The sequence below is a fragment of the Homo sapiens genome, chromosome 20, assembly GCF_000001405.40.
Source record: "Homo sapiens chromosome 20, GRCh38.p14 Primary Assembly".
Lineage (NCBI taxonomy): Eukaryota > Metazoa > Chordata > Mammalia > Primates > Hominidae > Homo > Homo sapiens.
Window position 1 is genome coordinate 44,985,563 of NC_000020.11, and position 13,300 is coordinate 44,998,862.

Sequence of the window (13,300 nt, forward strand, 5' to 3'; positions counted from 1 at the left end):
GAACTCCTGGCCTCAAGTGATCTGTCCGCCTCAGCCTCCCAAAGTGCTGAGATTACAGGCATGTGCCACTGTGCTTGACTTTTTTTCATATTATTAGCATAGTACCTGGTGCTTATTAAATATTGATTGATAATATCAAAGGTGTTAAATTATGACATATTAATTGATTTTCATGACACTCTTAAAAGTTATATTCCTATTTTATAGATTGGGAAACAGGCTAAGAGAATAAGAGAAGGTCAGTAACTTGCTTAAGTCACATGAAAGTAGAGCCAAGAGTAAAAGCTACGTCTTCCTAGTCCCAAATCCTACAGTTTTTGCACCAGAGCACACTCCATTTCACATCTGAGTTGTTTGTCAGAAGGGGAACTATGTAACAGTTTGTTGATAGATTGAGTTTGTTTAGGACTGGTGTTGGGTCTGCAGAAAGTCTATATTGGCCAGATCAGATATTCTATACTAGTTTCTAGCATTCTCACTTTCAACAGATATTTTTTTCAGTGCCTACTGTGTGCCAGGTGGCTTTATTGGTATTAGGGAAACAAAAGTAAACAAATCAGACATTTTTAGGAGCTTGTGTTTCTAACAGGGATGATATCACATACATAGATAAATAATGGGTAATATGTCAGATGGTAGTATACTGCAGTGACAAGGTAATTTAAGGGAATAGAGTATGAGCTAGAAATGGAGTAAGAAAGCCCTCTCCATTTTCTGAGGAGGTGATATTTGGGCAGATTACAAACTGAGGAAGCATACTGGATAGACATCAGGATGAAGAGAATAGGCAGTTGAAAAGTCCCAGAAAGGGGAGTGTGCTTAGAGTGTTTGAGGAACAGCAAGGAAGCAAGCCCTTGTTGAAACAGATTGAGCAAGGTAGAAAGTGGTAAAAGATGAAGTTAAAGAGGTAGCTGAGAGCCAGATCATGTAAAGCCTTGGTAAGGACTGACTTTTATTTTAAGTGGGTTAGGAAGACATTGGTAGGTTTTGACTCTGGCTTACATTTTAATTATAGCTTCTGTGTGGAAAATACATTGTAGAGTGTCAAGAGCAGAAGCAAAGAAGCCAGTCGGGAGATTATGAGAATAGTGCAGTCAGGACACGATGGTGACTTGGACCATGGTGATTACAGAGGGTGTATTTGGATATACAGTGTTTTGAAGATAGAGAAAAGTCAAGGATGACTTCAAGGTTTTTGACCAGAGCAACTGAAAGAATAAAGTTTCCTTTTACTGAGAGAGGGAGGACTGTGGGAGAAGTGGAGTAGGTTGGAAGGATCAGAGGGAGAGGGGTAAGGTGATAGACATAGAGTTTGATTTTGACATGTTATGCTTATGATGCTGGCTAGGTATTCTAGTTGGAGATACATAAATCTGATTGAGGGGAGATCTGGTATGGAAATATAGCCTTGGGAGTGGTCAGTGTATCTATGGTATAAGCAGTCAAATGCTGTTCACAGGTTGAATAAGATCTGTTTATATTAAAGAAAGGTTTGGATCTGATTTTTTCTCCTTTTTCTAATGCGCTGATGTAAACTGATAGAATTTGAACTTCTTATTCTTTTTTCAGTTAACAGAAGATGAAATAGCTACAATATTACAATCAACTCTTAAGGGACTTGAATACCTTCATTTTATGAGAAAAATACACCGAGATATCAAGGCAGGAAATATTTTGCTAAATACAGAAGGACATGCAAAACTTGCAGATTTTGGGGTAGCAGGTCAACTTACAGTAAGTAAAAATATTACTTGTATTGATAATTTTCATTTCTGTCCTGAGAAGCAGTTCCTTTTATTTACCTATTTTTAAAATATAATACTTGACTTAATTGTATTAGTAAAAAATCACAGAATCTGCCAATAGGTTACAAAAGAGCTAGTTAGTGGGTTATTTTAGATCTTTTCCTGGGGTTCAGGTCACATAGCTTAACTTTGTTCAACTTTTATAAAGATGAAAAGTAAAGCAAGAAATGATAGATTACTCTAGTGCACTACATCAACATATTTATAAAAGGAAGAAAAATTAAGAGGAAGAAAAATTAAGTCCAAACTGCTTTCCTTGACTAAGACATAACATCATCTCATTCAACTTCCAGGTAGTACTTGGCAGTTACTGTACTGAAAACACTCTGTTCGTTTGAGTCCAGGATACAGTCTCTTGATTCTTCTCCTGCCTAACTAGTGCATGGAAGTGAAAAAAGAAAAAAAAAAACTTGTTTTCAAAATAGGAAGTCTAGAATTATTTGATTCTACATAAGTATATATGAAAGTATATATAGAAAAATAGAAATAGTTTTAGGCAGGTATACTCTAAAATTTGCAAAAATATTACATATCAAGTGGTTTTCTTGGGTGGTAGAATGAATATATATAGTGTGTGTTTAGAACTGGTGTTATGTACGGTTTTTTTTTTATTATTTTTTTTTTATTATAAGTCTGCCTGGGACATGTTAGGGAGCCTCAGGTATTGTAACAGCACAGAAATTGCTTTGATGTTTAAAATAAATCAGAACCTTATTCAGTATCATGATTTGTGGGCTCTCCAAAAGGTTTTGTTGTTAACACAAAAGTAAACAGTACCAGACAATATTACCTAAACCACAGTCTTAGTCAGGAAACCAAATTGAAAAAATACACCCTCTGATGGTCTATAAAATAATATAATATTGGCCGGGTGCAGTGGCTTATGCCTGTAATCCCAGCGCTTTGGGAGGCTAAGGTGGGAGGATCACTTGAGGTTAGGAGTTCGAGACCAGCCTGGCCAACATGGTGAAACCCCATCTCCACTAAAAATACAAACATTAGCCGGACATGGTAGCGCACGCCTGTAATCTCAGCTACTTGGGAGGCTGAACCTGGGAGATTGCGCCATTGCACTCTGCACTCCAGCCTGGGCAACAGAGTGAGACCCCATCTCAAAAAAAAAATGTGTATGTATGTATGTGTGTGTGTATATATATGTGTGTGTGTATATATATATATATATATATATATATATATATATGTATCCATTCCATTTACTAATTTTAGTAATTGATTGATTACCCAATAATGACTTACAGTGTTCTTATTGCTATAATGCCTGCCTTGGCAGAATTTTTCTCCCCTTTTAATATGTACAATTCAGTGTTTAGTATATTCACAAAATTGTGCAGCTATTGCCAATGTCTAATTCCAGAACATTTTCATCATCCTCAAAATAAACTGTACCCTTTAGCTGTTAGTCCCCATTCTCTTCCCAGCCCTTGACAACCACTAATCTACTTTCTGTCACTATAGATTTGCATATTCTGAATATTTCATATAAATAGAATCATACATAATGTGCCCTTTTGTTTCTGGCTTCTTTTGTTTAACATAATGTTTTTGAGTTCATCCATGTTGTAACATGCATCAATTCTTCATTCCTTTTTATTGCTCAGTAATATTCCATTGTGGCTGTAACACATTTTGTTTACTTATTCATTAGTTGAATATTTAGATTGTTTCTGCTTTTTGGCTGTTAGGAATAATGCTACTGTGAAATTTGTGTACAGGTTTTTATGTGAACCGTTGTTTTCATGTGATACACAGAGTTGCTGGATCACATGGTAACTCTGTGTTTAATTTTTTAAGGAACTGCCAAACTGTTTTCCAAAGTGGCTCACCATTTTGTGTTCCCTGCTGATGTATGAGAATTCCAACTTCTCTGCATCCTCGCCAACATTTTCTTTTTTGTGTTTTTGATTATAACCATCCTAGTGAGTATGAGGCAGTATCTCTTTGTGGTCTTGATTTGCATTTTACTAATGACTAGTGATGTCGACTGTCATTTTTTCTGCTTATTGGACATTCGGGTATCTTTGGGAAAATGTCTATTTAAATCTTTTGCCCATTTTTAATTGGGTTATTTACCTTGTTATTGTTGAATTAAGAGTTCTTTATATATTTTAGATATAAGTCTCTTATGTACATGATTTGCAAATATTTTCTCTCATTCTGTGGGTTGTCTTGAAGGTGTCCTTTGAAATACAAAATTTTTAAATTTTGGTCGTGTCCAGTTTCTTTTTTCTTTTGTTGCTTGTGCTTCTGGTGTCACATCTAAGAAATCATTAGCTAATGCAGGGTCATGGAGATTTACTCCTATGATTTCTTTGAAGTGTTTAATGGTTCTAGCTCTTATGTTTAGATCTGTAATCTGTTTTGAGTTAGTTTTCATGGTGTGAGATAGGCATCCAATTTCATTCTTTTATATGTTGATATGTAGTTGTTCCAACATTTGTTGAAAAGACTGTTTTTTCTTTGTTGAAATGTATGAGTTTATTTCTATGCCTTCAATTCTATTCCATTGACCTATATGTCTGTCCTTGCACCAGTTCTGTGCTGTCTTGATTACTGTAAGTTTGAAGTAATTTTTGAAGTTGGTTAAGTGTGAGTGTTCCAACTTTGTCCTTCTATTTCAAGATTGTTTTGGCTATTCTGGGTCCCTTGTATTTCCACATAAATTTTAGGATCAGCTTGTCAATTTCTGCAGAAAAGGCCGTTGGGATTTTGGTAGACATTATTTTGAATCGTAAATCAGCTTGAAAATACTGCCATTTTGGCAATATTGTCTTCCGATCTATGAATATAAGCTGTCTTTCCATTTATTTAGATTTTCTTTAATTCTTTTAGCAATGTTTTATAATTTGCAGTGTACAAGTTTTGCATGTATTTGGTTAAATTCATTCCTAAGTAGTTTGTACTTTTTGATACTATTTTAAATGGATTTGCCTTATTTTCAGATTGTTCATTGCTAGTGTAACATACAATTGATTTTTGTATATTATCTTGTGTCCTGGCACCTTGCTGGACTTTTTTTTTTTTAAATTAACTGTGAACATGTATGTTGTTTTGTTAAAAAAAATGAGATTTTTTTTCCTTCACTAAAATAAACTGAAACTGTAGTACAAGATGATCTGACTTGGCTGTTTGGTTGTGAAACCTCCAGTACTACTAAGTTTAGGCCCCTCTCCGGTCTCTTGTCTAGAGGCTGTAGGCCTTGTTGGCAGCTTTCTGGGAAGTGGTGGTGGTGGTGGCAGTGGGGATTGTTAACATGTTAATGCTCATTTAATGTTCCTGATTCACAACACCACCCACACTCTCTATAGTCTAGAGATCCTCGGTTTCACTCCCCAGAGAGTACACCTCCAGTCTAATGCCAGGGTGGGGCGAGGGAAGCCCACTAGTTGCTTGATGGGAGAGGAAGGTTTAGGGTGCTTAGCTGCTTCTTAACTCTTTCAACCCAGGCTTCCTATTTGGATGTCCGTTTTCACCCCTCTTTTCTCTGCCTGATGCCACCAATTTCTAAGTCTTTTGGAGGGGTTGGTGTTAAAATCAGGTTGTTTCCTAGTTTTCCTGGCGACTGACTGAGGATTCCATCTGATAGTCTGTTCAGTTAGTTACTATTGGGCCATCTGCTCTCCAGCTTTTAAAATTCTGTGGCTGTAGTTATTTTCCCCTTTGTTTTTTTATTCTTGTAGATTTATTCTTAAAAAACAATCCTTTTAGTATCTTTTTGAGTGAGTTTTGAGAGATAGTGAAAGTAAAATGTATTTGCTCAAGCTGTCATCTTTACCCAAGACTCTGTAATATTATTTCTGGTGGCAACATGGGTATTTCATTGTATGGATATAGCATGATTTATTTAACTCTTTCCCTACAGTTGGATGTTGGGTGCCCATTAAGGTTGCTTAGAGTTTTCCCACCACTATAAACATAAACTCTGTGATTAACATTCTTGCAACTAAATTTTTCAGCATTTCCTTGAGTAAATCCTTAGGATAATTTATTTACATTGGAATCTAGGTCAGAAAATATGTGAATGTATATTGGCAAAGTGCTTTTGATGCATAGTGCTGAATTTCTTCTAGAAGTGAACAGTTTCAGTTTCCAACTTCAGTATATAAATGTGCTCTTTTCCCCTCATATTTGCTAATGCTGAATGGGCAGCAACTTGTATCTTCCCTGCTATTTCTCAAAGCAGTTGACATATTTTTGCATTTAATTATTGGCCATTTATAAAAATTCGTTTGTAAATGTTCATTTTTGTGTCAGTTTTCCTAATTGAATGTTGTACTTTTTTTTTTTGTTTTTGGGAGACAGGGTCTTGCTCTGTCACCCAGCCTGGAGTGCAGTGGCACAATCACGGCTCACTGCAGCCTCAACCACCAGGCTTAGGTGATACCCCCACTTTTGGCCTCTTGGGTAGCTGGGACTACAGACGCACACCACCACCCCCAGCTAATTTTTAGTAGTTTTTGTAGAGACATAGTTTCACCATGTTGACCAGGCTGGTCTCAAACTCCTGAGCTCAAGCAATCTGCCCCCCTTGGCGTGCCAAAGTGCTGGGATTACAGGTTTGAGCCATTGTGCCTGGCTGAGTGTTGCATCTTTTAAATAAATCTTATTAAAAAAGATAAACTAAAAAAATTTATGTTAAAATTGTTACTCCTATTTTGTATATGCTGAAATATCTTCTAGTTTACTAGTTGTCTTTTAATTTTGATTATGGCTTTTTAAAAAAATACTACATAAGTTTCCAAATTTTATATAGAAAAATCCATCTACCTTTTATCTTATGGTTTCTATCTTTGATGTCATGCTTAAAAAATCCTTTTCTCCTTAACATTATAGAATGGTTAATCTATGTTTTTTTTATTTTTTATTATTTTATTTTATTTTATTTTTTTTTGAGACAAGGTCTTGCCCTGGCACCCAGGCTGGAGTACAGTGGCATGATCATGGCTCATTGTGGTGTCAAACTCCTGGGCTCAAGCAATCCTCTTGCTTCAGGCTCCCAAGTAGCTAGGACTACAGGTGTGTGCCACTTCGCCCAGTTAAAATTTTAACATTTTTTATAGAGATAGGCTCTCCCTATTTTACCCAGGCTGGTCCGGAACTCCTGCCTCTGCCTCCCAAAGTATTGGGATTAGAGGTATAAGCCAGCACACCTGCTCTGTTGCTCAGGCTGGAGTGCAGTGGCATGATCATAGTTCACTGTAATCTTGAACTTCTGGGCTCAAGTGATCCTCCCACCTTAGCCTCCCAAGTAGCTAGGACTACAGGCATGTGCCACCATGCCTGGCTAATGTACTGTTTTTTTTTTGTTTGTTTTTTGTTTTTTGTTTTTGAGACAGTCTCGCTCTGTCACCTAGGCTAGAGGACAGTAGCGCAATCTTGGCTCACTGTAACCTTCACCTCCCAGGTTCAAGTGATTCTCGTGCTTCAGCCTCCCGAGTAGCTGGGATTACAGGTACCTGCTACCACACCCGGCTAATTTTTTGTACTTTTAGTAGAGACGGGATTTCGCTATGTTTCCCAGGCTGGTTTCGAACTCCTGAGCTCAGGCAATCTGCCCACCTCTGCCTCCCAAAGTGCTGGGATTATAGGCATGAGCCACCGTGCCTGACTGTCTAATGTACTTCTTTAAAGTATTCGTTGGGCTTTGTTTTTTATGTTTAAAATTTCAACTTATTTGAACTTATTTTGGTGAAAGTATAAGGTAGGCATTTAAGTGTAGAGTTCTACAAATGACTAGATTCCCAGTGCTTTTTTTTTTCATAATCTATTCTTTGCTTGCTGATTTTAAATGACATTTTAATCATAAATCATATGTATATGTGGTATATATAACAGGTTATTATATATACATATATATGATATATATGTACACACACACATACATATACACATATGCCATAGTGAACTTCTGGACTTTATATTTTTTATTGCTATGCTATTGTACTAATATAACTTTATAATACAAATCTAAGTGGGGTTAGTGTACACTCATTGCTCTTATTAATTTTCAAAAACTTTCTAGCTATCCAAGTAACCATTTCTAATTGAAATAATCCAGTGAAAACAATTTTGACTATCACCATTTGAAAACACCCTTGCAAATTTGAAGTTTCAGAGCTAAGGAAATGACTAAGCAGTAAGTTAGTTCCTGTGTTAGTTTTTTACATAGGACTGACAATGAGATTGATTTAAATGACCTGTCATTTGCTTCTGACTGGCATAGCCTAAATCACAGGCATTTCAGAAGGAATATCAGTGATGATGATCGGAAGTCCTTTTTCGTATTTAGTTCTGTTTAAAAATTCTTCTTTTGCTGGGCATTGTGGCTCATGCCTGTAATCCCAGCACTTCGGGAGGCCGAGGCAGGTGGATCACCTGAGGTCAGGAGTTTGAGACCAGCCTGGCCAATGTGGCGAGACCTTGTCTCTACTAAAAATACAAAAATTAGTCGGGCATGATGGTGGGCGCCTGTAATCCAAGCTACTTGGGAGACTCAGTCAGGAGAGTCGCTTGAACCCCAGGGGCGGAGGTTGCAGTGAGCCAAGATTGTGCCTCTTCACTCCAGCCTGGGCAGAAGATCAAAACTCTTTCTCAAAAAAAAAAAAAAAATCCTTCTTTTGCTAAAGCATAGGAACTGTAGGGAGGTTCTCTTTCAGTAGGGCCATGCCATCCTGAGAAAGTATGCAAGTGGTTATTTGCTGTAATGTGTACTGTATCCACATATTCTTCTTTAGCCCATAAACTAAGATATTTTGTATATTATTTTTTATATATCAAGTTTAAAATTTTTTTATTGCACATGTATGCTCATATAAACCTTCAGAATGTTACAGATGTATACAGGATAGACAGTAAAAATCTTTAGTGATTCTGCCTACTAGATATAATTAATGGTTTGGTGTGTATTACTCCAGATTTTTTGTGCTATGATATAACAGTGTTTCATATTATTGGTTATTGTTTTATTATTGTTATGATCATCATTATTATATATATTTTCCTTTTACAAAAACAGGGCTATATTATATATAATTGTACAACTTTTTTTTGCTTTGTAATGTATGTTGTGCATTTTTTTCATGCTAGGAAAAGGTATATATCTTCTTTTTTTTTTCTTTTTAATATGGTGTTTCAGTATATGGTTATTTATTATATTTAACTTACTATCTTTTGATGATCATTTGAGTTGTTTCCTTTTCCTCCTCATCTCCCCCATTACAGACATTTCTACAGTCTTTGTGCATATCGTTTGAGATACTTGAACATAAGATAGATTTCAAGAAATAGATTTGGATCAAAGGATATGAATATTTAAAAGTTGAATAAATATTGCCAACTTATGTACTAAAATGTACCAATTTATACTACAGTAACATTTTATTTCGGTGCCTGATTTTCTATGCTATTATCAGCATTAATTATTAATTTAAAATTTTTTGTCAGTCATTTTAGTTTTTGTTTTAATAATTGATTGAGAATCTTTTTGTGTTTCTTTGTCATTTGAATTTCTTCTATGCCTGCTTGATCATGCTCAGAGTATGGTTTTTATATGTATTTCAAGTACAAGGCATTTTTTTATTGTTGGAAAAGCCTCTTTTTCTCAGTAGTTTTTTTTTTTTTCTTCTTTTTTTCTCTGTAGACTTCCTCTGTGGACATCTCAGTAGTTTTAAGCTTAGTGTCAGTCTCTCTCCCTTTCTATTTTAGGATACCATGGCCAAGCGGAATACAGTGATAGGAACACCATTTTGGATGGCTCCAGAAGTGATTCAGGAAATTGGATACAACTGTGTAGCAGACATCTGGTCCCTGGGAATAACTGCCATAGAAATGGCTGAAGGAAAGCCCCCTTATGCTGATATCCATCCAATGAGGGTAAGAAAGTGGACAGAAAGCCAGTGGGGTGGTTAGTTACTGATCATCATTAAAAAGTGAAGTTCAAGCCAGGTGTTGTGGCTCACACGTGTAATCCCAGCACTTTGGGAGGCTGAGGTGGATGGATCACCAGAGGTCAGGAGTTTGAGACCAACCTGGCCAACATGGTGAAACCTTGTCTCTACTAAAAATACAAAAATTAGCTGGGTGTGGTGGCGTGCGCCTGTAATCCCAGCTGCTTGGGAGACTGAGGCATGAGAATCACTTGAACCCCAGAGGCAGAGGTTGCAGTGAGCTGAGATCGTGACACTGTACTCTAGCCTGGGAGAGAGAGTGAGACTCCATCTCAAAAAAAAAAAAAAAAAAAAAAAAGTTCAATGGCTTACTTGTTTAAGTTGCAAACAATAAATGAATTATGTGTAAATTTGTAAGTGTCGCTATAGATGATACACCTCTACTGACTCTAGTTGTAGTCATTAATTAATTTAAGTGTGTTCCACCCCTCTCCATTCCAGAGGTTGTGTATTGATAGCCCTCTGGCAGGACATAGGCCATAGAAATGCTTAGTTTGATTTGTGCTACTCTCTCTCTCTGTCTGTCACTCACTCATTTTGAATAGTTTAGACAACCACATTTTAACATGTCAACATTCACTAGAGCTGAGTAGTGGTTCAGAGTATGAACTCTCTACTTTATCAGTCTCCATGATTCCCTGTTGTGTCACCAAGTATTAGCTGCCACTTATTACAGTATTTCTCTAATGTTTTTCTTATAATAGTGTTAAGAAGAAAGCAAACTGTATTTTTGAACTCATGTCACTGAAACCCAGCCTTGTTCATTTTTTATCTTTCTTCTGCCTGGCCCCTATAGGTGTTTTGAATTTGTAAGTTTTGGTTTGTAGATCCCCATATCCTCTTCATCTGGAGGCTGTGTACTCTCCAACCCCTGTCTCCTTCTAGAATGTTAAGGGCCCATAGAATGCATCTCCAGTGAAGCTCTTCCAGTGCTCACACCCTAAGCAGTTCCCAGGCTTAACTGTCCCAGAACCCTTCATCACAGCACTGTTGTAATACACCCCCCCGCCAACCCTGCCTTCCTCAGGGGCTCTGTGGTCCTCTCCATCCTTCCTTACCACAGCTCTTCCTCTTCTCTGACTAATTAATTCTCCTATTAAAAGACTTACACAAATTCATGTTCCCAAGGTAAGTCCTCCCTCTTTTTTGGGAGAAGGAGTGAGGAGATTTACTAGTTACAATTTTAGATTTAAAGAATATAATTTAAGCTGCTTATTTGTATAGTGTTTTACTTTTCAAAAAACATGGCTTTTTTAAAATTGGAAATTTAATAAATAATAGTCTTATTTTTGGACATAGTAGAATGTAACTGCAACGTAGTGGGCCAATTTTTAATTTTTCCCCCTCACACATGCGTTGATTTAGCTTACTTTGGAAGTTAATGACCCCATTGTGATTTTTGGGACTTCTGGTTGATGACCTTATTGTGTAGTTGCTGCTGACATCTGGGGGTGGTAATAACTTTTAAGAGGCAGGGAAACTTGACAACTATGGGGTCAAGGTTATCTTTAGGATGTAGATACTCTTAGGTCTCGCCTTTCTACTTTGAAAGGCAATGTACTGTGGTTACCAAAATAATAATAATAAAAAAGCTTGATTGATGTTGTGAGGTTTAGGGAACAAGACCCATATATGAGAGAGGGAAAAGGAGAGAGGGAGATATATCAGGTTCTTTAACCATCAGATGCTTAGACTTTTGTTGGAATTTGGGTGAGCTTCTCAGTGGGTAAGTGAAAAATCATTTACCAAGCTTCAAATGTAATTCCACATGTATTTTTTATTGGAGCATTACTTTTATTTTACCAGATCTTTTTGTTTGTTTGTTTGTTCTAACCAGGCAATCTTCATGATTCCTACAAATCCTCCTCCCACATTCCGAAAACCAGAGCTATGGTCAGATAACTTTACAGATTTTGTGAAACAGTGTCTTGTAAAGAGCCCTGAGCAGAGGGCCACAGCCACTCAGCTCCTGCAGGTATGAATCACCCTGTGATGCCATCTCGCTCCATTTCATTTACTTGCTGACCAAAAGATGCCATGAGGTCACCTACGTGGAGATAGTAAAGAAGTATAAGGCAGGCTGGGTGCAGTGGCTCACGCCTGTAATCGTAGCACTTTGGGAGGCTGAGGCAGGTATATTGCTTGAGCCCAGGAGTTTGAGGCCAGCCAGCATGGTGAAACCATGTCTCTACAAAAAGAATGCAAAAAATTAGCCAGGTGTGGTGGCGCATGCCTGTAGTTCCAGCTACCTGGAAGGCTGAGGTGGGAGGTGGGAGAATCTCTTGATCCCAGGAGGTTGAGGCCGCAGTGAGGCATGATTGTGCTGCTACATTCCAGCCTGAGCAATAGAGTGAGACGCTATCTCGAAAAACAAAGTAAAAGAAGTTTAAGACATTCTCTACCTCTAGGGAGGTTTGAATCTATTTGAGTAGAAAAGAATGTTAAATCATTGAACAAGACAATAATGTAAGAAAATACAGGGCAGTATGGGATTAGAGAAAGGGAACTGACATTTAGTGAGTACCTGCTGTCCGCCACATACTTTGCATATGTGCCATTTAATCATCACATAGACCCTGTGAAGGGTGGGTATTATTTCAGTTTTATAGATAAAAAATGGAAACTTAGGGAGGTTTACTCATTTCGGGTCACTCAGCTGGTAAGTAGCACAGTCAGTATTAGAACTTGAGCCTTTTTTATTCCAAAGCAGGGGTACCATCAAGTCTACCCGAGTCTGACAAAGAATTAAGAGCAGTGGTGGGTACTGTTGTAGTTCAGGGTGGGAGAAGGCCTCTTTGGACTGGAGATGCAAAAAGTGTTTTCCTGGAGGAGGTAGCTTCTAGGCCTGGTCCTTGAAGGACAGGTGGCATGTGGCAGGCAGTATGCTTAGTGGTTAGGAGCTTGGATCCTGGTCAGATTGCCCAGGTTTGAATCCTGGCTCCCAATTTACTAGCTTTGTGATCTTGGGCAAGTAACTTAATCTCTCTGTTCTTTTGGTTTTGTGATCTGTGAAATGGGGATACAGTACCTGCCTCATGTGTTGTGATGATTAAATGATATAATGTGTGTTACTTTGAACAATGTTCACATGTATTGAAGACAGTATGGTATGAACGTGATAAATATTAGCTATTATAATTGGGCTAGGCCAACCGTTTGCAGTCATTTCAGACCCAGTGCCCCCTTTTTATAACCAATGTATATATTTAAAAACTCTCATTACTTTTCTGGAATGAAACTCACATATAATAAAACCTTTTTATGCCCATAATTTAAAAAGAATCAATATTGTCTATGATGTGATGGAGAAAAATAAAGATAATTTATAATGAAATAATATGGCTTTCAACGTGCAGTTACTTCAGCCTGACCCAGTTTGCAGACATAATGAAATAGATACCTGTGCCTGGCATCATGAATGAGTTTAGATTTAAGAGCTGTAAGAAAATCAGAAACTAGCCAGGTGCAGTGGCTCATGCCTGTAATCCCAGCACTTTGGGAGGCTGAGGCAGGCGGATCACTTGAGGTCGG

The 13,300-nt window shown here is 37.4% G+C and overlaps 1 protein-coding gene across 8 annotated transcripts in view; it reads left to right on the plus strand.

Moving 5' to 3' along the window:
• Positions 1–13,300, plus strand: part of STK4 (serine/threonine kinase 4) — a 113,510-nt gene that overhangs the window by 19,051 nt on the left and 81,159 nt on the right. For all 8 annotated transcript variants that reach the window (XM_017028031.3, XM_011529018.4, XM_047440425.1 and 5 more), the window contains 3 exons: positions 1,570–1,734; positions 9,528–9,695; positions 11,607–11,744. In XM_017028031.3, coding sequence (XP_016883520.1) covers positions 1,570–1,734; positions 9,528–9,695; positions 11,607–11,744 — 471 coding nt within the window. The remainder of the gene's footprint in view (positions 1–1,569; positions 1,735–9,527; positions 9,696–11,606; positions 11,745–13,300) is intronic.